Consider the following 21,660-nt stretch of genomic DNA (forward strand, 5'->3'; position numbering starts at 1 on the left):
GCAGGATGGCTTGGATGCCCCCTGCCCGTGCCCAGCCTCAGGCCCCTCCTCGGGTTGCCTCCCCTGCAACCAAAGTTTCAGCTTGGCCGTCATCCCCTGCAGGGAGCATCCTTGACCTCTTGCCTTGGAGGGCCTGGCATGCTTCACACACAGCACTCACCAGCCTGTTTCACACGCTCCTACGCAGTAAGGGTGTGAGGGCAGCAGCACCTCTTCTCCTCCTCACCCCAGGGCCCAGGCTAAGGGTGCTCGGGAAGCATCAGCAAGCCATGCTGGGGGCTGTCAGGACCCTGTGGTTCTCAAAACCACATCACCCACCCCGTGAGAGATCAGAGACATGGACAGCACACGCTGGCTGAAGGTTGCAGTCTGCTGAGGGTCACTACAGCGGTGCCACTGACCCATCACACCCTCCCACACTGCCTGTTCAGGTAGTGTATGCAGACACACGCGTATATATGTGGACACACTCATGCATGCACACACACGTGCCATATACACACATGCACGCACACACACACGCTTGAGGAAAGTCCTCTCTCTTGCTGAACTATTCTCAGCCCCAGTGCATAACAGGTCTCCTAGTGGGGTCTGGCTTCTGACACTTTCAGGGGCCCCCGTGACAGACACTCTAGTGCATCAACTCCTCACTTAAGAACGGCTCGAGAGAGGGCTTCCCTTTCACTGCACAACAGAAGCAGGCTCTTCGCAGAGCTGGTTCCCTTTTCTTTCAGGTAATAACGCTCTCCACCTTCTTCAACTGGCCAGACGCCTGCGGGCTGCAATGCCCATGTCAAGCTGCTTGCAGAGGCCCTTTGTGAGGGTGAATGGGCACAGCACAGAGTTCACAGCAACACACACCGGCGTCTGCTCCCCCTGGAGAAGTGATGTGGGTGCTGGGGAGGAGCTTTGGCCCTCATGTGGCCATGCTGCCCCCTCTGCCGCCCCACCAGGCCTTTCTGGGTGACCCTGCTGCGCCCCTGCTGCTGATCTGGGCAGGAGGGCGCTCCCCCCGCGCTAGGCTTCTTGCGTGGTCTCCTGTCTCACAAAACTCCTTTCTGGGAGAAGGGGAGGTGTCCCTGGCCAGGAGGAAAGGAGCCGTGAGAAGGCTGTCGCATCTCAGCATCTGCTCTGGGTTGGACTGTGCTCCCCACCCCCAAATTCATGTTGATGACAGTGCTCCCCCAAGGCATGGGGCTCACTCAACTATGAATCCCGATGACCAGGGAAGGACCAGCCCACTCCATCCCTCCAAGTCCTTACCAGTTGTAGGTGTGGTCATCCTCTAGCAAGGGGAGCTCCTTGCCTCCCCCTGAATCTGGGCTCACCCTAGGGACTGAAAGAGTGCGGTAGAAATGACACGCTGGAATTTCTGAGGCTGGGTCATAGGAAGCCTCGTAGCATCTGCTTGGGTCTCTCGGGACACTCTCGGGAAGCTCACTGTGGGGCAGTGCAAGCCACGCTGTGGGCCCTGCCTGAGGAGGTGCTACGTACAGCCTGAGGAGCACTGAGACCCCAGACAGGAGAGCCGGTGCCATCTTGGAAGTGGGTCCTGCAGTTAATGCCACACAGATCAGACAAACTGCTCAGCTGAGCCCATCCCAAATGCCTCACAAAATCGTGAACAATGTAAAATGGCTGATTTAAGCCACCAAGCCTTGGCTTGTACAGCGACGGGTGACCAAAACACCACTTCTTCCAAGAGGCTCTAAGCAGCCTCACGGAGACATAGAGAAGTCCTGCCCAGCCTCACCCAGCACCATCCAATCCCTACCTGCAGCCTGAGTTCAGAGAGAATGAATGAACTAAGCTATTCGGAAGGTCTATTTTAATAGGAAAATGTTTTTTAGTTGGAACGTTTTGGAAATAAGATAACGCAATGTCTTCTATAGTTACTCATTTACACTGAAACGTGATGGGTAACTTTTAGGGCGTTTGCTTCCAGTCACTTTCCCCTGACTCCTTGATGTGATAATTCCTTCCATAAGATACAACCATTCTCCCAAGTGATGCGATGACGAGTATGTGCGTGACTCTGGAGGGAAAGGGTCTACATCTGTCTCTGCTTGTGCCTCGGATGGGTTTTACAGTAGACGTACCACCGACCCCGCCTCTTCACCAGGTAACAGTCCTTGCAGCGCTTCTTAAGGACAGTCTTGTTTTTGAACCCCAGCGCAGGCAGCAGATGGGGCAGGAGGCCGGGTGAGAGAAGTGAGCGCACTGCTGCCCCGGGTTCCACAGCCACGGGGGCTGCACCTCGAATGGATCCAAATAGAAATGTGGAGAGGGCTCGAGGCTTCACCGTGTGACGACTGAGATAGAGCAGAGGGTTCACCATTTTCCTTATAAAAAGATTTGCCATGTTGTGGTGAATCTATGGGAGAGAGAAAAAAAGGAGTTATAGCTTCTCCTGCACTTCCACCTGCTCTTTAAGGCTTCCTTTTCTCTGTTTCACTGAGGCTTGGGAAGGCAGGGACCTCGGGGACTGAGGGTGTTCCCATACCAGCTGCAGCCTCGACCTGAGCTTGAACACTGCCTTAATCAGCCAAGTGTGCCAGGAGAATAAGGGGCAGTGGACGGTGGCTTCCTTCCCTTTCCCGCCTGCTGCAAGTGTAGGTGAGTGTGCAAAGCCCTGCGATGTTGAGGAGCCGCTCACTTGGCTGGGAGGGAGCTTAAACTTAGGCCGCATCCCTTTCCAAACAGACACCAGGTCAAGGACGGTTCAACTGATGAGCTCCTCCCTCCAACTCTTCCCAGACCCAGGGGCCCTCCCTCGGGCCAGTTTCGGGACAGGCCCCCGCTCCGGAAGAGCACGGAACTCTGGCACCCCGGTCGCCCGCCCCTGCTTCCCCACGCGCCCCGGCCCTTAGGGTTCAGCGGCCCCGGCTGGGAAGAGCTGGGCCTGCAGGGCCCGGAGGACACTGCGGCACCGGAGCCGGCCCTGCGCGCGGGCTGTGAGGTCGCGTTCGGGAGCCGCCAGTTCTCCCGCCCCGGGGTCGCTGGACACCCCCTCCTGTCGCCAGGTCGGGCGCCCACGGTCGGACCCGCACCCCCCAACCCTGGCCCTCTGAGACCGCCAGGCCCCGGCCCACGCTCCTCTGACCGCAGCCCACTCGGGGAGACACGCCCGAGGGTCCCAAGGTGGCCGGCCCCACCCTCTCGCAGCCCCCACTCTCAAGACACCCGGGACCCCTGACCTGAGAAGACGGCTCCCTTACCCGGCCGCACGCTCTCACCCGGCGCCGACCCCTGCGTCTGCGCACTGGCACGCGGACGCTGCTGCCAGGAAGGAAGATGGCGGCGGGGGGGGGGGTCACGTGGCGTGCCCACGTCCAGTGCGGGGCGCAGAGACGCAGCAGCGAGTGCGCAGGCGCTGGAGTGCGACGTATCACTCCCCGACTGCGCGCACTCTGCGGGCCACCGGGATCGTCGTGCTGTTTGGAGCGCTCTCGGGAAAAAAAATGCAAAAACCAGGAACGAAAATGGATATCCGCAACGAAAAAGAAATTACAACCACTTAGGCCTTAGAAAAAACTGGCAAATACCAATGTCAAAACAAACTGAGAAAGAGGACATGTTTTTAAGTGGACAGGAGAAATGTAAACAGGCTCCGGGAAACGAGTGGAGACGGGCAGTAGTTTCAACTGGTTACGGCTGTTTTCCCCAACATTATGAAAAACTTCGGACATAGAGAAAAAGGGAAAGAACTGTACGGTGAACACCCATATACTTGCCACCTAGATTCTACCCTTAGCTCGCTTATCCCTGCCTTTTCAGGTATCTACCCGTAACTCCATTCGCCTTCCTTTTTGTGTGTGTCCGGGTGAGTTGCAGACGTGGCTGCGTCCACTCCGCGCTCCCTGCAGGCCCCAACGCTTCATCGCAGCGCCCACTTTTTCCACCTGACCCGGCGAACACCGGGCGGGCCGCTGGAGTTTATCAGCTCCAGGACAAATCTGCCTCTGACCACCACGTTTGCTGGGACATCTTTGGGACCGGAGGTTTTCATGTGCATTCTTGTTTCTCATGCCTTTCCTCCTCTTTATCATCTTCCCCGCCACTCATCCATCTCTAGTGTTTTGTTCTTGGAGTCACGTGGTCCTCAGGCTCTGACCACAGCAAAAGAAAAGCTGGATGCTGGAGCTTAAGCTGGGATTTATACCCAAGTCAACTCTAAGCAAAACGGGCCTTTTTAGAGGCTGTATTTGCATGCTGTAAAATCAGTCGGTGTACTAGGCTTTGTTGCAGAAATCCCCAATATACGTTTCCTCTGCGGCTCCCCGTAACCACACACAGGAACGCTTGCCTTGAACGAGGAGAATGCACTTCCAGTCTCGTCTGCTAAGCAGTTGACTCCTTCACCCAATAATTTTGATATTTAAATGTCTCATGATTATCGGTTACCATAAGAATATAAACAATGTATTTTCAGTTTACATCCTCCCCTGCCTGTCCGCTAAATAAGAACCACTGGGTACTCCTAATCGCTGAAGGTTTCGCACACCATTGCCTGCCTCATCAGGGCCCTAGCTCTAGCCTGCGGCTGCAACTGCATGAGGCTGCACCTGCCGGCGCAACGGGGCCGCTTAACTTTTAGGCCATTGATGAAAAGTCAAACAAGCGCACAGTACTCGGTGTAATCAGGGGCATTTTTAGCGAGATACCTGGGATGAAAACGGGTGACCACCTGAATCAGAGAGCAGCTCCGGCGCACCCTCTGCCCCGACCCGCGCTCCCCGCCCCCAGGGCGAAATAAATACCGGGTGTTTGGCGCCGCCAGAAGCCGTGCGCATGCGTTAGCGCTAAGCGGGACGTTGCGCCGGGTCAAAGGCCAGCGGCGCAAAATGGCGGCGGCGATGACCTTCTGCCGGCTGCTGAACCGGTGTGGCGAGGCGGCGCGGAGCCTGCCCCTGGGCGCCAGGTGTTTCGGGGTGCGGGTCTCGCCGACCGGGGAGAAGGTCACGCACACTGGCCAGGTAACGGCCGCTGGGTACAGGATGCACCTTCCTCCAGCCGCACCTCGGGCGACTGGTGGCAGTGGGCTCGCCGGGCATCCGCGGCCCTGGTTCTGCGCCGGCAGCGCAGGTCGTGGTAAGGTTGTGCTGTCGCTCACGCGCCGGGGAGGACGCCCGCGAGTCGGGACGGTGGTGGCAGCCTGTAGCGGTGGGTCTCGTCCTTCCAGGGCCTGCGGGCTCTGGAACGGGAAGTCTCCCCAGCGGGCAGCACTTGCTGTGGACTGGCTGCCCATAGGCGATTTGTGGCAGCCGATTATTTGGGTCAGAACGTTTAGAATTTGTGTAATATTCAATAATAAATTTTAGTAACCTGAGAAGTCGGTTGTAGTCCAAGGCACAAAAAAGCCCTAAGCCAAAATGAAGAACAAAGGTACCTGTGTATACTGGAATGTGCCCTAGTAGATTTAATGGGGGGATAGTAAAGCTCTCAGGCCATATGCCAAAGAAGGTTGGGGGCGGTTCTCCTCGGTCAGGATTTGTCTCTCCTCCTTAGCTCCACCTTCCCGGGCTATGTCTCTGTGCTGCTCTCTGATCCAGGTGACCACCCGTTTTCATCCCAGGTATCTCGCTAAAAATGCCCCTGATTACACCGAGTACTGTGCACTTGTTTGACTTTTCATCAATGGCCTAAAAGTTAAGAAAAACACTTTCCTGTAATATTTATGATTGATATGAAGTGACTTTCAGAATTAGGCCGTAAAAGTCACACATGGTCTTTTTGTTTTTTTCCAGGTTTATGATGATAAAGACTACAGGAGAATTCGGTTTGTAGGTCGTCAGAAAGAGGTGAGTAAAAAATCTAGTGAAGAGAGGTAAGCTTTCCTAAAACTTTTATGTAACCAACAAGAAATAAAAATTAATATATAAGATTTAAATAAATTTTCCCCATATTGCAAGCACCCTAACAGTTCTGGATGGGGTTCTTCCTTTCTTAAAATCTTAATTGTGTCTATTTCTGACTTGTTTCCCCCTGAAATACATAACATTGTAGCCGTAGTTCTGGTTTGCATATAAATGGAAGTGATCTTTTTTAAAATTCTTGTCCCTTATTCTCCTGAGACTCTCAGATTTAAGTAAATCATATCAACTTTAAAAAAATTATTCTTTTAACCACCTGGAGGTGTGTTTTTTATAGTTTTCACCAAATAAATTAGTGTGTGTTTTTTACAGGGACTTACACTGACAAGCTGAAAATGGCACATGAGTTTTTCTTCCCTTAGTGGGTCTGTTAGCTCTATGCATTGTAAGGGAAGATCAGTTCAGGTGCCTGTGAGTGACCACTGGAGAAAGAATGTTGAAATTAGAATCCTTCTGCCTAAATCAGCCTATTTTTTTTTTTTACCTGACTCCTTCTCTATCACTCATGTCAATGAGCTCCTGAATTCGTAATTAGATCAGGCATGCCTCCATGATTCCTGAATTTGCTTCCTGAAGGATGCTGTGAAGTGTCCTTCACAGCCACCTTATTCATTCTTTTTCCCACTTTGGTTAGCCTGGTGTTCTTCTTGTTAACACCGTAGCTATCCCTAAATCATGTATTTTCCCTTCTCCTTCAATCTTGGTTACGTTATCCATTCCCAGTGTGTAGTTTTTGTACGTCTATTCCAGAGCTACAGGGCATTCCAGAAAAGCTCACATGATCATGAATTGACTATAAATTCACATTCTCAAAATTCAGCTGGTTCACTGTTGTGTGGTTTGATGGGTGGGTGTCAGAAAAGTTTGTTTTATAGTGGTTGATTATTTGGCAATGCCACTTGAGTGTTGGGTTGAGAAAGATCCTGAGGCCTGATGCACATTCAGTGGAAGAGTGTGCCATGATTGATTAGTGATGTCTACCAGGATCATGGTGGTGGAGAGGGGCTTGTGTCTGGTGGGTTTGCCTCTCGGAGTAGAAGCTGTGTGGACTTGCAGTCTAAAAATTGTGAGGTTGAATCACAGCATGGGTTCAGTTTTCTCATTTGTGAAATGGAACCATGTGAATATTTTTAATTGAATCATAAGTCTCCAGTGATATCACACTGTCAGTTGTCGAGTAAGTGGTGTATAGGGTAAGTGCTCTTTCTCTCCATCCTCAGAAACCCTTTTCTGTTTGTTGTTTGAATTGTTAGTGTATTCCCAGTAGAAGCATCTGTTCCATGTGCCACATTCTCCAATGCTGTATCCCAGTGATTCACACAAAGGAGCTCATGGCATTGCGAATGGGACATTTCTTCCGTGTGCAGGCTGTCCTGGGCATTCTTGTTAGGTATATGAACTTGACATTTGGAAGGTGGAAACCGATGGATGTTGAAAGGATTTGCAGGCCCTTTGGTTTCTTTTGGCAGTGATCGTGGAGAAGGGGAGGTTTCTCTTAGTGTGGATGCGGTATGGTTTCTTTTAGTGGTGACCGTGGAGAAGGGGAGAAACCGATGGATGTGGGGAGGGTTCGCAGGCCCTTTGGTTTCTTTTGGCAGTGACCGTGGTGACGGAGGTTTCCTGGGCATCGATGGGTGGTTGTTACTGAGGTAGTGGCTGGACTCTACATCCTTGCTTTGTGGGTGTTATGGCACGGTCGTGGGGGCAAGGTAGGAGCCCCAGATTGAGCAGTTCTGGAGCAGATTGGTCCTGAAGCCCTTGGGCTCATTCATGCAATCTGGCTTCCAGCCCAGCTCCCTATCTCAGCTCTTGTAGTGACGAAGCAAGTATGTGGGTCCCTGTCACAAACGCCTCTCTGCTGAACATTCTTTGTGTAGCTTCTGGTTTCTGGTTGGTGTAGCATAGGGTAGTGGGAAACAACTTAAACCAAACAGAATCAGGATTGGCGAAGCCAGTGAGGGGTGGGTACGGGATAGTGTGATAGTAGTGTCTGTGACCGGCAGCTCACCCAGGGCGTCCTGGTTGTGACCTCAACGCTCCAGCCGGCCTAGCCTCCAGTGCCTTCCCCCATTCAGCATCCTGAGTGTCCAGGGCACGTCTTGGCCTCACACCTTGGAGGTTCAAGGCATGTTGATAACATGATGAGTGGGCATCCTGCCCAAGCTTTCCTTCTTTCAACACAAATTTGGTGTTTAGTACTATTTTTAGTAGTAGTTGTTTGGCTTCTGAGAGACTTAATTTTTTGGAACACTTTTAGATTTACAGAAAAACTGAAGAAAGTAGGGTTTTCACAGCCCCCCAGCTCAGTTTCTGCTGTTTACTGCCATCTCTCATTAGTGTGCTGCCTGTGTCACAGTTGATGAGCTGATACTCATACATTATTACTAACTCAAGTCCACAGGTTCACTCTTAATGTTGTATGTTCTAGGGTTTGGATAGATGTGTAATGACATGTATTCACTGTGACAGTGTTGTACCGAGTTCACTGCCCTAAAAATCCTCTGTGCTCTGCCTGTTCATCCCTCCCTCTGCCCAACCCCTGGCAGCCCCTGATCGTACTGTCCTCTAGTTTTGTCAAGTAATACTTTAAGAAGTAAACTGGGCCAGGCACAGTAGGCTTATGCCTGTCATCCCAACACTTCGGGAGGCCAAGGTGGGCTGATCACTTGAGCCCAGGCGTTCAAGACCAGCCTGGGCAATATGGTGAAACCCTGTGTCTACAAAAAATATAAAAATTAGCCTAGCATGGTGGCACATGCCTGTAGCTCAAGCAACGTGGGAGGCTGAGGTGGGAGGGTCATTGAGTCTGGGAGGTTGAGGCTGCAGGGAGCTGAGATCATGCCATTGTACTCCAGCCTGGGCAACAGAGCAAGACTCTATCTCCAGAAAAAAAAGAAAAAAATAAACTGAATCTGAACTTCACCTGTAGAACAAGCATAGCAGGAAGCTAGATAATTGAGCTGGTCTTTGCAGAAAAACAGTGGAAAGTATCTTTGTGTGGCTCCTGCCCAGCTTTGACCGGGGGTACCTTCAAAGGAATCCATGGCCCCTGGGCCTGTGACGGGCCTGCCTGTGAGGAGACTCCTCACGTGCTAAAGAATGTGCCAGCCACCCCCAGCCAGAAGTCAGGCCTCACATGGTCCTGGAGCAGGTGGCACTCTGGGGCCACATAAGTCAGATGGGGGACTGGAACAAACTTGGAAGTGACCAGGTATTTCTCTGCTGTTGATGGAAATATTTTCATTGCTTTATAGTCGTACAAGTAAAATTAAAAGCAGATATGACTTGTCCCCTAATAGAAGGGATGACTGGGGGAGGTCTGCAGTGAGGTGTGGTAATAATAACAGCAATAACAACAGCCTGGTAGCCAGGTACTTGGCGACATCATTTGCTTTTTTGGTTAGTAGCTGGGGCTGCCCTGCCTGGCCGCATCCGGATTCAGGCTCCTGCGCTGATGGGCTTATGAGGGCTGTGTGCTTCAGTGACTTAGCTTGTAGGCTCGTGGGCACTGAGTCCGTGTAGATGAGGAAAGGCTTGGAGCAGCGCCTGTCCCAGGGAAGCCTCTAGTGTGTGTTCGCCTTACTCTGCTGCTGCCTTCGCCACCACCATGAGGGCAGGCTTCACTTTTAGATTTTTTTAAAATACTGAAGTTAAACGTTAGTGTCTATACACAAGGTCTTTACTTTTAGTTTTTGAAAAGAAGGAATTAGGCAGCAAACCCGGAACATCAGGAGGCTGGGATCCCTTGAGTGCGACTCTGTGCCACCCCTCTCCACCTGTGTGTGTCAGGATCACGGAACAGCTGGGGGCTTCAGCTTGTGCCTTCATCTGCCCGCCAGTGGGATGGATTCTCTCCTCAGATGCTCGGCAGGGCGGAGTCACTCCCTGACCCGCACAGCCCACAGCTGGGCGTTTGGGTCAGCGAGATTCTGCACGTTTTCTGAGACACCTAGGCTGGCAGGGTTGAGTCCAGTTGTGACCCTGTGGCCTCACCTGCCTGGCCCTCAGTTCTTCAGTAGCAGACTTCAAGGTGCGTGGTGCCACCAGGATTAGGAGCAGTTGCACGCGGTGCAAATGTCTACCTGGCGTGCTGTTTTGTTGCGATAATGTGAAGTTTTATCCTTCTGAGAAGAGTGTGTAGATTTCGTTAATGGAAATAATTGAGTAGTGCTCACGAGAGAGGAAAACTACCAAGACCCTCCAAACAGAAAACAAGCGTGGGTGACGGCGTGGAGCAACTGAAACTTTGTGCCTTGCTGCTGGGAATGTAAAATGGCACAGCCGTGAAGGAAAACAGCGTGTGGGTTCCTCAAAAAGTTGAAACTAGGACTTCCATCCAATCCAGCGGTTCCACTTCTGAGCGTGTGCCCAAAAGAACTGAAAGCGGGGTCCGGGGTACACTCGTGTCATAGCAGCATTATTCATTATAACTCAAATCTGGAAGCAGTTTGGGGGTCCATTGTCAGCTGAACGGATAAGCAAAATGTGATCTGTCCATGGACAGTGGAATATTATTCAGCCTTAAGGAAGAACGCTTGACACGCCCCACAACACGGATAAGCCTGGAGGACGTTGCGCTCAGTGAAGTGAGCCAGTCACAGAAGCAGACTGCGTGATTCCTCTAACACGAGGGACCAGAACAGTCGCTTCTTAGAAGTACTGTATGAGGTACTCAGAGGTACTGCGTGAGGTACTCAGAGGTACTGCGTGAGGTACTCAGAGGTACTGCGTGAGGTACTCAGAGGTACTGTGTGAACACTGTGTGATTCCTCTGATACGGGGGACCAGAACAGTCGCTTCTTAGAGGTAGCAAGTAGTTGGTGGTTGCCGGGGGCGGGGGGTGAATTTGGAGTTAGTGTTGAATGGAAATGGAGTTTCAGTTTACGAAGGTGGAAGGTTCTGGAGATGGGTGGTGGTGATGGTTGCACAATAATGTGAATATACGTGGTGTCCTTAGAAATGGTAAAGATGGCAAGTTTTATGTTATGTGTATTTTACCACAATTAAAAAAAAATTAAGAGGGAAGTGGCTTCAGGCCCACGCAGGAATTGACCAGAGGTTCCTCCCTGAGGCTTCTGTGGCTGGTGTCGCTCATTCTTATTTCTCCCAAGAGGCCGGCAGGGCAGGGCACACTCGGGTGGGGAAGCAAGTGAGGCTGAGGCTGGGCCCACGCGGCACCTCCAGAGGCTCTGCACACCCGTGGTGGTAACTTGTGTTATCACCCAGGACAAGCGCACTCCTCGGATCAGCAGTGGAAGAAACTTGTGACATCTTTCGTCTACATTGAGCCATCTCTTGAGGCCAGCGCAGCACCACCCGAACCATGTTGGCTCTCGTGCGTGCACACACACACTGTTGGTCACAGGAGGGATGCCACCAGAGAGCTGAGAGGGAGTGCTGAGGTACCCAGGGGTCAGTAGCTGCAGGAAGCAGCCACTATTCCTAGGACTTGGGGGGCAGGAGGAAGAGGTGGCGTCACCAGGAGGGAGCTGTGAAAGTGCCCTTGTGGTGCCGCTGGAGCTCCAGGTGGGAGACAGGACTGGGAGTCGGGGATGGGTGCTAGGGTGAGGCCCCCAGCCAGACAGTGGTGGCTGAGAAGGTCCTCCGTGAGAGGAAGATTGAATTGAGGGGCCTCGGAATTCCACCCTCCGCCTTTGCAGGTCATCTGGTTGGTGGCAGAGGTGGAGCTCTGTGCTTGCTTCCAGGTTCATCCTTAGAGGGTTTAAGAGGGGAGGTTTGCCTGAGTCTCTCTTGTCTTGAAGCAACCTGGGCGTCCTTTAGGGGGTGTTTGAGACGCGGGCGGTGCGATGTGCGCCATGGCTGCTCTCCAGAGCTTTTGTGTGGCTTCCCGCTTCTGCATGCTCCTCCTCCTGAGCTTCCCTCCCAAATACGCCATCTTTATAGTGGAGTGAAGGCAATCGGATTTTAAAAGAAATCTTCTGGATGGATAAGAACCGTGGGTCTTTGCTTCCTTTAGAAAGGCTTGGACTGTCAGAAATAATGGTTATAAAGTGAGGTTTATTTATCCCAGGACCCAGAGGAAAATAGTTGGAACTGTGAATTCACGAGCCCCAGGTTCACATGCTGGTGGCTTTGTTTGTGAGCTGGCGAGATGGGCTTTATTTCCTCCCTCATGCAGCTCCCCAGCTTCGTCTTTGCTTCTCTATTGTGTCTTTGTGTCTTGTGGTTCTTTCTCTTCCAAGGCACTGGCAAAATTAGTCACTGGATTCCAACATTCTCAAAGCAAGTTTGAACATGTTGTACAGACAGCTCAATTGTGGTTTTTAGAGCATTTTCTATAAAGTTACTTAGTTTAAAAATTAATTTGAATGAAAACTTCAGTTTTGCCTGTGATTTAAGAATTATATACTTATATAGACATGTATACACACGTTTAGCTTAAATAATTATTGGCATTCATGTTCAGAATGCCTGATGTTCTAAATAATTGAACTGAGCTTTTACTTTATTTTAAACTTTTATTTTAAATGTCCATGAATGGGGTCGGTATTCTACAGTGTCGATGATCCAGCTGGTGGACTTTTCCCTTCTGCGTTGGTTTTGATGCTGTGTCACAGAATCACATATTTTATGTTTTATCTTTAATAGATGTAATCTCAGTTTGACACAATAGGACTTTGACTCCTAAAGATTTAAACCTACATATCTTTATGCCCAATCATTTGATCATCAAGAGGTCAATGGAAAGAGTGTTTCCTATTTTTTACATTAGTGACGGGCGAGGGACTCATTTTACAGAGGTTGGACACTTCACTGTGTATGATGTGCCGTGTGCTTAACAAGAGATGGCGTGCGGGCTGCTGTGACGGTTCTCCCTTGATTCCCTCGTGAAGTGCAGCAGCGCTCTTCAGTTTTTCTCACCTTTCCCCAGGTGAAAGCAGGTGAGAATGGAGCCTTGAGTCTGAACCCAGAGCGGGGCTTTGTGTTGTGGCTGGGTGTGTTCACTGCCGGAGCTTGGCCGTGTGAACCCGGAGCCGGGCTCTGTGTCGTGGCTGGGTGTGTTCACTGCTGGTTCTTTGTATTCCTGCGGTTGCACTGAGCTCCTGGAGCCAGACGTTTGCTGGTGATGGGCGGTCAGGGTCACCCTTGAGCTGCGCACACTAAATGACGGGAGGGCATCCCGCGTCAGTCGCCAGTGTCGAGGCGTCAGCAGCCCTCCCTGCAGGGAGGTGGCCGGTCTCTTTGACTGCCGTGATCGGGGCCTGGCAGTTTGTTAGTGCGGCCTTTGTGACACGTTGTCACTTAGGCAGACACCATATTATTTACACCATAAGGCTTAATTTGTATGGTTAGTTGCATCGCCTGCAGCAGGGGTGAGCAGAACATCGCTCACTCCAGAGCCCTCTGTAAGGCGCTGCGACAAGGCGAGCCGCCGGGCCGGCAGCAGAGGCTTGTGTTGCTGGAGCGTGTGGAACAACCTGGGCGGCGCCACACGGCTCAGGCCTCTGCTTTAATGTGGCTTCATTTTCCACTAACTTCCTACTGTGTTTCTGGAAATAGATCTTCAAGGAAAAGCTTTACACAATGGTCATCTGTAACTGACAGAACCTCTTGAAAAATAAACCTTTCCGAAACATATCTGTGAGGGAGAGTGGTGCCCTGCCTCCCACTGCGTGTGTGTTCTCTGTGACTGTGTGGCATTGAATGGGCCTCTAGTCTCCAGAAATGAGTGACTTTGTGATGAGCCCTGTTGCTGCTTCCACTCTGGGGCGGGGACGCTGTAGAAGGAGCACAAAGTTTCAGGCTGTGCCATTAAGCAGGGGAACCCCAGGAGCAACATCCGAGGCAGAGGGTTGTGTCATGCTTGGCGGGGCTGGCCCTCCAGGAGGGGACATGCAGGTAGACCCACATCCCTGGGCTTAGAGGCCTGCTGGGGGTGTAGAGTTGAGTTCCTTCCCTCTACATGCACAGATGCCGGCGCTCTACTTCCCATAGCTTCCCGGTTCTTCGTGCCTTGTCTTCCTGGCACTTAATCGTTGACTGTTCCCAGGGGCAGCTGAAAGGGGCTGGCTCATTACAGAGTCAGAGGAAATCAAGGCATGTCCCCTTTCCAAGTTCCCAAATTTGCCATCGTGAGCATCATCAAATACATTATTTGCCAAGCCAGGATGTTTTAATTGCTTTTTAAAAAACATAAATTCTGTGAAACAGAGGGAATAGTCTAATGATTCCCTTTTCCCATGTATCCAGGCAGTCAGTTTCAACAATTACCAACCGAAGTAGTTGTCGGAGGGGCCAGTCTGGCTCAGCTCCTCTAATGGTTGTCGGAGTGGCCAGTCCGGCTCAGCTCTGCTAATCGTTGTCGGAGTGGCCAGTCTGGCTCAGCTCTGCTCTGCCTCTCCCCCGGCCCCCCAGCCCCTGGTAATGTTGATGTGAATCTTTGACATCATGTTACTGAGTCTAAATTTATCTGTATGTAAGTTGACCCTTGAACAACATAGGTGTGAACTGTGAGTCCACTTAAGTGGCTTCTCTTTCGCCTCTGCCACCCCTGAGACAGCAGGACCAACCCTCCCTTCCTCCTCCTCAGCCTGCTCTACGTGAAGATGATGAGGATGAAGACCTTTATGACGATCCACTTCCACTTAATGAAAAGTCAGTTCATTTTCTCTTCCTTGTGATTTCCTTCATTGCATTTTCTTCCTCTAGCTTACTTTATTATAAGAATCCAATATATAATACTTGTAACATGCAAAATATATGTTAATCGACCATTTATGTTATTGGCAAACATTCTGGTCAGCATCAGGCTATGAGTAAATTGTGGGGGAGTCAAAAATAATATGCAGATTTTCAATTGTGTTGGGGGTGGTTCCCCCAACCCCTGAGTTGTTCAAGGATTAACTGTACCTTCAAAAGATACTAACATTCAGATCTTACAGGGAAGTAAAAAAAAAACAAAATAACAAAATATATTAACATGACAACAATATAATTATCACACCTTAAAAATTATACTTTCTTTAAGTTAAATATCTAAGTGGTGTTAAATATTCTTGATCATGCATGTTTTTAAAAATGTTACAGTGTGACTCCGAGCCCAGGTAAGTTCCTACATGCAGCTGTTGGTGTCTCTTATGTCTCTTTTAATCTGTAGGTTCCCATCGGTCTCCCACTCTCTTTCTCATTGGAGAATTTTATTTGTTAAAGAACCTGGGTCATTTCCTCTGTAGAGTCACCCACAGCTGGATTCTACTGACCGCATCACTGTAGTGTTGTTGAACATGTCTCTTGTCTCTGCATGTTTTGAAATTAGTTGGATCTCAAGACTTGATCAGATTGAGGGTCAGTGTTTTGTTCCTGGTGAGACTGCTACATAGGTGATGTATCCGTCCATCAGGAGGCACATAATATAATTGGTTCTGGTTGTAGTAAGAGACTTTGATCATTGTCTCTTACATCTGTGATTTCATAAGGGGTTGTAAAATGATATTATCCATCTTATTAGGTTGAATACTTATATCAAAAGAAACCTTGGTGCTGAGGTAAAGTTTCTGTAGGAAAATCAGAAGAAATACTTGATTCTTTCCCTATATTTACCAGTCTTTAATGGGTTGATTCTCTAGTTTCTGTTTGTTTTGTGTTGCTATAACAGAGTACCTGAGACTGGATAATTTATAAGGAACAGAGATTTATTTCTTACAGTCTGGAGGCTGGGAAATCCAAGGTTGAGGGCTGTGTCTGGTGAGGGTGGAAGGTGGAAGGACTGGAGAGTGTGCATGAAGGGGACTGAACTCCTTCTTCTACCAGGAGCCCGCTCACCACCTGTGAGGGCAGCCAGAATCCTTCATGAGGCAGAACCCTCATGACCTCAGTACCTCTGAAGGCCCCGCCCTGTCTCTCAACACTGTTGCATTGACTATTCAGTTTCCAACAGAGGAACTTTGGGGGAGCACATTCAAACCATAGTACCTGGTAAGGTAATTAATGAGTTTTTAAAATATGTTTATGAAATCATGAGTGTAAAAATTTGTGTTTCCACATTTTGCAGTTATAATCCCCTTGTCCCTCCAATTCCCTGTATCCCAGATTATCCCATGTGGCAAATTTCCCCGGGTTGACTCCTCTTTTAACACAACCTTAGTTGCCTTAAAAACTTCCCTGACTTGTGCCACAGTAGAGTGTCTGAAGTTCATTCTATAACATTTCCTGTCCTGGACCCAGAATCAGTCATTTTTGAAAGAATCCAGTCCCTTCCCTTCGGTGTGAAATGGTGTTTAGAGACCACCATGTGGGCAGCAGGGGTCCTCATTGCCCTGAGTTAATCATGGTCCTGGGGATGGAGCTAGAAAGGGTGTGTGTAGGCCAGGCTCAGTGGCTCATGTCTGTAATCCCAGCACTTTGGGAGGCCGAGGCGGGCGGATCACCTAAGGTCAGGAGTTCGAGACCAGCCTGACCAACATGGTGAAACCCTGTCTCTACTAAAAATACAAAAATTAGTCGGACGTGGTGGCGGGTGCCTGTAATCCCAGCTACTCGGGAGGCTGAGGCAGAGAATTGGTTGAACCTAGGAGGCGGAGGTGGCAGTGAGCCAAAATCGCGCCACTGCATTCCAGCCTGGGCGACAGAGTGAGACTCTGTCTCAAAAAAAGAAAAGAAAGGGTGTGTGTGAACATCAGACATGGGATGAGTCACACTGATCCTTCCAAACTTAGTTCAGGGTTACAAGACTTCTGCTGAACCAGTGAGCTGACCTCTCTATTTCCTTCCCCACACTGAAAATCCTGATTTTTCAATAATAATTTCATTTGCTTTGGAAGCGGTTTTATTCTTAAGGTGTGTCCTGTTAGAAATGTTCCTGTTACTCTCTTAAAGTGTTGGGAATTCCTTAGGTCCATTTGTCTCTTTTAAAAGTTTAGTTTTCTAACTTTGAAAAATATAAAATATAGTCTCAGTCAGATTTATAAAACTTGGAAGAAAGTCTAACGATCGTGCTCGCGTCCTCCTTCCTTTCCACCTCACAGTAGTAACTGTTCAGTGCTTTCTCCTTTGGATTTCATGTAAATCAGTGAATATGTAGGCGGACCCCTGGTATTCCCCACATGGATGAGTGGAAGCTTCCTGTCCACTTACCCACTGCCTGGCATCTCCACGTAGTCCTGTGTCCTCCTTCACCCCATCGCGGTATTATGGAGACACTTTTTTCATTCCGTTTTGATAGTAACTGAAAGCATCAGCACACAAGCAGGACGTGAAGTTACCAGAGTCTTTCCCGCACATGCCTATGAGTCATAAATGACCAGGTGGAAGACACAGTGGATGAGGAGACCCAGTGTACGGTAGCAGCAAACAAGAGAAAACACTTAGGAACAACCTAACCGGCATTCAGGACCTCTGTGGCCCAAGGGGAAAGCCGGAAGGACATTGTTGGTCTAACGGATTGCAGAGCTACTGGCATTTTTGGCATTTTAGATAAATCTATTCCATCGGTATCATGTTTACTGAGGTGGATAACTGCATGGAGGTTCTGTGAGAGAATGTTCTTATGAAACGCACATGGGAGCCTGTGACAGACAGGCCCGAGCAATACAAATGTCCTCAGGTGGGACAGAACGATGTGGTGGGGAGAAGAGGGCGTGGCAGAGCCCACGGGGCACGTGTCAGCATTTGCTGGGTCCACGGGGACAGAAGGGAAAGGCTCTGTGCTGCTGGGATTCTTGCAGTGCCTCTCCGCGTTTGGAACTTTATTCCAGTGAAAAGTAGATGTGTGTGTAGGCCCTGAATTTAATAAGGTCTACAATGATAATAGTTAAATGAAGCATGCACCATAGATTCGTGCTGATGGTACATGAATTTGTGTGTGGTGGGTTAAATTGTATGTAGTTAGCAAGTTTGTGTATTTGTTTACGTAAGTCTTTCTTCTTGTTCCAGGTGAATGAAAACTTTGCCATTGATTTGATAGCAGAGCAGCCCGTGAGCGAGGTGGAGACTCGGGTGATAGCGTGCGATGGCGGCGGGGGAGCTCTTGGCCACCCAAAAGTGTATATAAACTTGGTGCGTAGCTGGCCACCTGTGCACATGTTAGGGCAGCCTGCTCGTCCTCATACTCCCCTTCACTCCCAGTGCCTGTTCTTTCTGTCCTCTTCTCTACCTGCTCCCGAGGCGGCCCTTACGGGGTTCACACTGCTGGCACATTCACCCTACAGCGCCACACTACAGGGCCTACATAGAGCCGCCTGTCCGAAAACCCCCTTTCAACTGTGAAGTGGTGGGCGGCATGTTTCTCTTCTCGGACGCCCAAGCGTCTTTCCTCTCTGGGCCCTTCTCGGTTTGGTCATCATCTCAGCTCAGGCTGCCACACACAGCACCGCAGGCTGGGGTCGAAAACAACAAACACATTTCCCACAGCGCTGGAGGCTGCAGCCCAAGACCACCGTGCCGCTCTGTGGGTTCCTCCTGGGGCCTCGCTCCGGGGCTTGCAGATGAGGTCTCCTCCCTGTGTCTTCACAGGGCCGTCCCTCTGTGGGAGACTCCTCATCCCCTCTTCTTATAAGGGCACCAGGCAGATTGGCTCAGGGCCCCTATGTGACCTCAGTTTACCTTCATCACCTCTTTAAAGGCCCCATCTCCAAATACAGTCACATCGGGGGTTAGGACTTTGGGGGGCACACGGTTTATTTTCTAACAATCCCTATGTAATCTTTTATGCCTGTTGATGAGTGTCATATACAGGACCATTGAGAAAAAAAAGAACACAGGACCGGAGAAAGAGACCGTGGGCTGAAGCTGGGATGTGGAACTGGGGTGCAGGGTGGGAGGGAGGCTGCCACAGATCACTCAGGGACTCGGGCGGCTGCTGACCTGGGGTGCAGGGAGAGGGGGAGGCCACCGACAGTGGAGCACTCAGGGACTCAGGCGGCTGCTGGGCTTGGTGTTCTCCCCAAAGCAGAGTCCTGGTTAAGGGACTTTAACTTCGTTAGAGCTGACATTTATTAAAAGCTGTCATTATCTTGTTGCCTGTCCTGAAAAGGGGACAGTGTAACAGGCATAAATGGTTAAGCAGCCTAGAGTGGGACTGGGCACCCGGCATGTCCCCTCCTGGGCTCCAGCCCTGAAGGCCAAGCCTGGTTGTGCCTCACTGTCGTGTGCAGCACCCACCGCCTGCTCCAGGCCGCTGAGGTGTGGGGAGTGAATGGAGCTGCAGGCTGACAGTGATGTCCCTGGGGGTCCTAGGGGATGGCTGCGTAGCCCGGGGTGGGAGCCTGAGGCCAGGGGCTTCGGTCAGCCTGGAACCGAGATCGACAGTCTGCATTCTTACTTCAGTAGTAACTGCGTATTTTTGTTTCTGACAGTCTAAGTTTTATACATACATTTTCAATGCTTAATATCTAGATTTGAAGTAGAATATGGAAATATGACATCATTCCTTTTGAATTTTTTCAGGACAAAGAAACAAAAACCGGCACATGCGGTTACTGTGGGCTCCAGTTCAGACAGCACCACCACTAGAGCGTGTGGCACGCCGGGGGTCCCGCAGCATCCTGTGAGCATTTCCGCGGGGAAGCTGAGCACGTGAAGCTCGCTGGTTCTGTGCGAAGGGTATTCCTGGTGCTGAATAAAGGGTGTTGCTGTCAAGGCTGACAATTTGTAAGTTTGTTTCTTTCATAGTCTGGGCTTTGGAAGTGAACATCCACGTGGACATGGGTAGACATGCGAGTGGAAGCAGTGCCCGCTCCAGTGAGCCTGAGCTGCCTCCTGCCGGCCGCTGCCTGCCTTACCGGCTGCTTCTGTGTGTCTCCTCTTATCCTTGGGGCCACGTGGGCTGCAGGAATGGGCGGGGGGCAGGGAAGGAGAAGGAGAAGTGCCTCTTGTTTTGCAGATGCAACTGTGCTTCAGAGAGCCAAGGTGGGTCTTGAGGTGCATAGTGAAGGAGGGTGCCCAGGCCTCAACTGGTCCTATGGGAAGGTCAGCCTCTCTCCTGTTGCTGGCTTGCAGAGCTGGTCTATCCGTCCGTCCTAGTCCCTATGTTGAAATGTCAGATCTTAAAACCCAAGAATTTAAGCACTGGTTTGAAGGCATCGAAAGTCACATACTGGCCACATTAAGGACAGTCTATGTTTTTAAAAGAGTAAGGATTATAATGTAGTGTAACATAAAAATAAAAGTAGATTTTGAGGGAAGAGAAAGGAGTCTTGCTAGAATGATCCAGGAGTCTGGCCTGTGAGTAACGGGAATTCCAGAGGAGGAAATACCAGAGCAGAGGGAAGGTAAGAGGGAAGGTGAGACGGAAGGTGAGAGGGAAGGCGAGAGGGAAGGCGAGTGGGAAGGCGAGAGGGAAGGCGAGTGGGAAGGCGAGAGGGAAGGCGAGTGGGAAGGCGAGAGGGAAGGCGAGTGGGAAGGCGAGAGGGAAGGCGAGAGGGAAGGCGAGAGGGAAGGCGAGTGGGAAGGCGAGAGGGAAGGCGAGTGGGAAGGCGAGAGGGAAGGCGAGAGGGAAGGTGAGAGGGAAGGTGAGAGGGATGGTGAGAGGGAAGGTGAGGCAGAAACAGCAGAAACACATTTCCCAAGCCAAAGAAAAACCCACAGATCACAGGGCTCACCAAGTTCCTAGCAGTATTGGTGAGAAAAGACAACTAGGCATATTCTGGTTTAAGAAAAGAATTAAGCTGTAAACTTTAGAGTCTAGAAAAAAGAAAACCTTTTAAGCGCATGGATGAAAACAAATTGTAGTGGAAAAGTGATCAGCGATCAGGTATCCACCTCTTTGTCTTTGATGCTGGAGGCTGGAAGAGTGAAACATTGTCCACAATCTTCATGCATAACCAAAGTTAAATTCCTTATCCTGAGAGGAAGACATTCTTGGATGTGGGAGAGTTCAGAGGTCATCATCCTGGACCCCACTGGGGAAGATACCTTGAGGAGAAGGCCTTACCCAGCAGACATGATCACAGCCCTCGGTGTGGGGAGGGAGGCTGAGGCAGGAGCGGCTGCTAGTGGGAACCAGTTCATTCCAGTGGCACGCTACCCAGACATGCGTGTGAGGCCATGCTCCCGGGCTGCAGGGACAGTCCAATCATGTTGCCCTTGGTGCTGAGTTGGGAGGTCTGGGAGGGGGAGAGGGAAGAAGGGGATGCAGGCATCCAGGAGGTCTCTGGGTTGGGTGGGTGGAGGTGGAAGGAGGCTGAAGCTCCCTCTTGGAGTGGCGTGAAAACAAAATGGAGACAGATGTGATGGAGTACATTGATGCCACCTGGATTCGAAATAACTGTGGCGACATCTGTGAGCTGTCCCCGTGAGGGCCCAGAGAGGGAAGAGCAGCAGGCCAGGAAACTGAAAATGTGGATGCAGAATAACCAGGGATGGGGAGAGGTGAAGGGGTGGGGCCAGGGGAAGGGGGAGAGAAGGGAGGAGCGAGGACTCAGAGCCAGGAGCCAGGCCAGCCCCTGGGGGAGCCACTGGTGGAGATGAGGCCCCAAAGCTCCACCCTGGGCTACGGATGCACCCCCACCGTCTCTAATATACCACATGCTTGTCCTTCATCTGTTGGGCTACCATGCTGCTTTTCTTTACACGTGTTGACATGGTGAGTGACGTTAGTCAGTCCTGCACGTTCCAAGGTGGACCTGAGTGTAGGGGCAAGTCTTGCTTTTAATTCCCCTTTAAACACTGTCCTCCTTGGGTCTTCGTGTCAGGGCCGTGCTCACTTTGAGTTGGGAAACTGCCCACATTTTCTGTTCTCTGGAAGAGAAGGTGTAGGATTGGGATTCCTGTTTCTTGCCTGGTGGAACTCGCAGGAAAGTCTTCTGGGCCTGGGTTTGTTGTGGGAAAG

At 50.6% G+C, this 21,660-nt stretch overlaps 2 protein-coding genes across 7 annotated transcripts, besides 8 other annotated features; one reads left to right on the top strand and one right to left on the bottom strand.

Annotated features, from left to right (window-relative positions):
• Window positions 1,812-4,861, bottom strand: MRPL36 (mitochondrial ribosomal protein L36). Of its 6 annotated transcripts, none has more exons than XM_011514080.3 (2): window positions 4,761-4,861; window positions 1,812-2,374 (listed from the first exon to the last, which is right to left on the bottom strand). In XM_011514080.3, the coding sequence occupies exons 1-2, from the start codon at window positions 4,791-4,793 to the stop codon at window positions 2,051-2,053; spliced, it is 357 nt and encodes a 118-aa protein (XP_011512382.1). In that variant the 5' UTR covers window positions 4,794-4,861; the 3' UTR covers window positions 1,812-2,050. The 6 variants fall into 6 exon arrangements, with proteins under 6 accessions (XP_011512382.1, XP_016865240.1, XP_016865239.1 ...); XM_017009751.3 differs by lacking the exon at window positions 4,761-4,861 and adding an exon at window positions 4,665-4,729; XM_017009750.2 differs by lacking the exon at window positions 4,761-4,861 and adding an exon at window positions 3,237-3,264.
• Window positions 2,734-3,143: a silencer, noted in NCBI's record as "silent region_15888". NCBI's record gives its function as "represses an Ori minimal core promoter by ATAC-STARR-seq in GM12878 lymphoblastoid cells {active_cell/tissue: GM12878}" and the evidence as "EXISTENCE:reporter gene assay evidence [ECO:0000049][PMID:35858748]".
• Window positions 4,224-4,273: an enhancer, noted in NCBI's record as "active region_22313". NCBI's record gives its function as "activates an Ori minimal core promoter by ATAC-STARR-seq in GM12878 lymphoblastoid cells {active_cell/tissue: GM12878}" and the evidence as "EXISTENCE:reporter gene assay evidence [ECO:0000049][PMID:35858748]".
• Window positions 4,334-4,463: an enhancer, noted in NCBI's record as "active region_22314". NCBI's record gives its function as "activates an Ori minimal core promoter by ATAC-STARR-seq in GM12878 lymphoblastoid cells {active_cell/tissue: GM12878}" and the evidence as "EXISTENCE:reporter gene assay evidence [ECO:0000049][PMID:35858748]".
• Window positions 4,643-5,630: an enhancer, noted in NCBI's record as "H3K27ac hESC enhancer chr5:1801330-1802317 (GRCh37/hg19 assembly coordinates)". NCBI's record gives its function as "activates a minimal SCP1, AML or CMV promoter by ChIP-STARR-seq in naive H9 embryonic stem cells {active_cell/tissue: H9 hESC(naive)}" and the evidence as "EXISTENCE:reporter gene assay evidence [ECO:0000049][PMID:30033119]".
• On the top strand, window positions 4,834-19,475 carry NDUFS6 (NADH:ubiquinone oxidoreductase subunit S6). The gene is made up of 4 exons (NM_004553.6): window positions 4,834-4,976; window positions 5,748-5,801; window positions 17,766-17,888; window positions 19,278-19,475. Exons 1-4 carry the CDS (start codon window positions 4,845-4,847, stop codon window positions 19,341-19,343), a joined length of 375 nt encoding a protein of 124 aa, NP_004544.1. The 5' UTR covers window positions 4,834-4,844; the 3' UTR covers window positions 19,344-19,475.
• Window positions 5,074-5,213: an enhancer, noted in NCBI's record as "active region_22315". NCBI's record gives its function as "activates an Ori minimal core promoter by ATAC-STARR-seq in GM12878 lymphoblastoid cells {active_cell/tissue: GM12878}" and the evidence as "EXISTENCE:reporter gene assay evidence [ECO:0000049][PMID:35858748]".
• Window positions 19,207-19,718: an enhancer, noted in NCBI's record as "H3K4me1 hESC enhancer chr5:1815894-1816405 (GRCh37/hg19 assembly coordinates)". NCBI's record gives its function as "activates a minimal SCP1, AML or CMV promoter by ChIP-STARR-seq in naive H9 embryonic stem cells {active_cell/tissue: H9 hESC(naive)}" and the evidence as "EXISTENCE:reporter gene assay evidence [ECO:0000049][PMID:30033119]".
• Window positions 20,440-20,941: an enhancer, noted in NCBI's record as "H3K4me1 hESC enhancer chr5:1817127-1817628 (GRCh37/hg19 assembly coordinates)". NCBI's record gives its function as "activates a minimal SCP1, AML or CMV promoter by ChIP-STARR-seq in primed H9 embryonic stem cells {active_cell/tissue: H9 hESC(primed)}" and the evidence as "EXISTENCE:reporter gene assay evidence [ECO:0000049][PMID:30033119]".
• Window positions 20,942-21,441: an enhancer, noted in NCBI's record as "H3K4me1 hESC enhancer chr5:1817629-1818128 (GRCh37/hg19 assembly coordinates)". NCBI's record gives its function as "activates a minimal SCP1, AML or CMV promoter by ChIP-STARR-seq in primed H9 embryonic stem cells {active_cell/tissue: H9 hESC(primed)}" and the evidence as "EXISTENCE:reporter gene assay evidence [ECO:0000049][PMID:30033119]".

This window comes from Homo sapiens, chromosome 5, assembly GCF_000001405.40.
Source record: "Homo sapiens chromosome 5, GRCh38.p14 Primary Assembly".
NCBI lineage: Eukaryota > Metazoa > Chordata > Mammalia > Primates > Hominidae > Homo > Homo sapiens.

Coding starts and splice junctions, on each gene's coding strand:
- MRPL36 (XM_011514079.2), bottom strand. CDS start 2,689: ATGCGGCCTAAGTTTAAGCTCCCTCCCAGCCAAGTGAGCGGCTCCTCA. Junction 2,375..2,503: donor TCAGGTCGAGGCTGCAGCTG/GTATGGGAACAC, acceptor TCTCTCCCATAG/ATTCACCACAACATGGCAAA.
- NDUFS6 (NM_004553.6), top strand. CDS start 4,845: ATGGCGGCGGCGATGACCTTCTGCCGGCTGCTGAACCGGTGTGGCGAG. Junction 5,802..17,765: donor TTGTAGGTCGTCAGAAAGAG/GTGAGTAAAAAA, acceptor TTCTTGTTCCAG/GTGAATGAAAACTTTGCCAT. Junction 17,889..19,277: donor CAAAAGTGTATATAAACTTG/GTGCGTAGCTGG, acceptor GAATTTTTTCAG/GACAAAGAAACAAAAACCGG.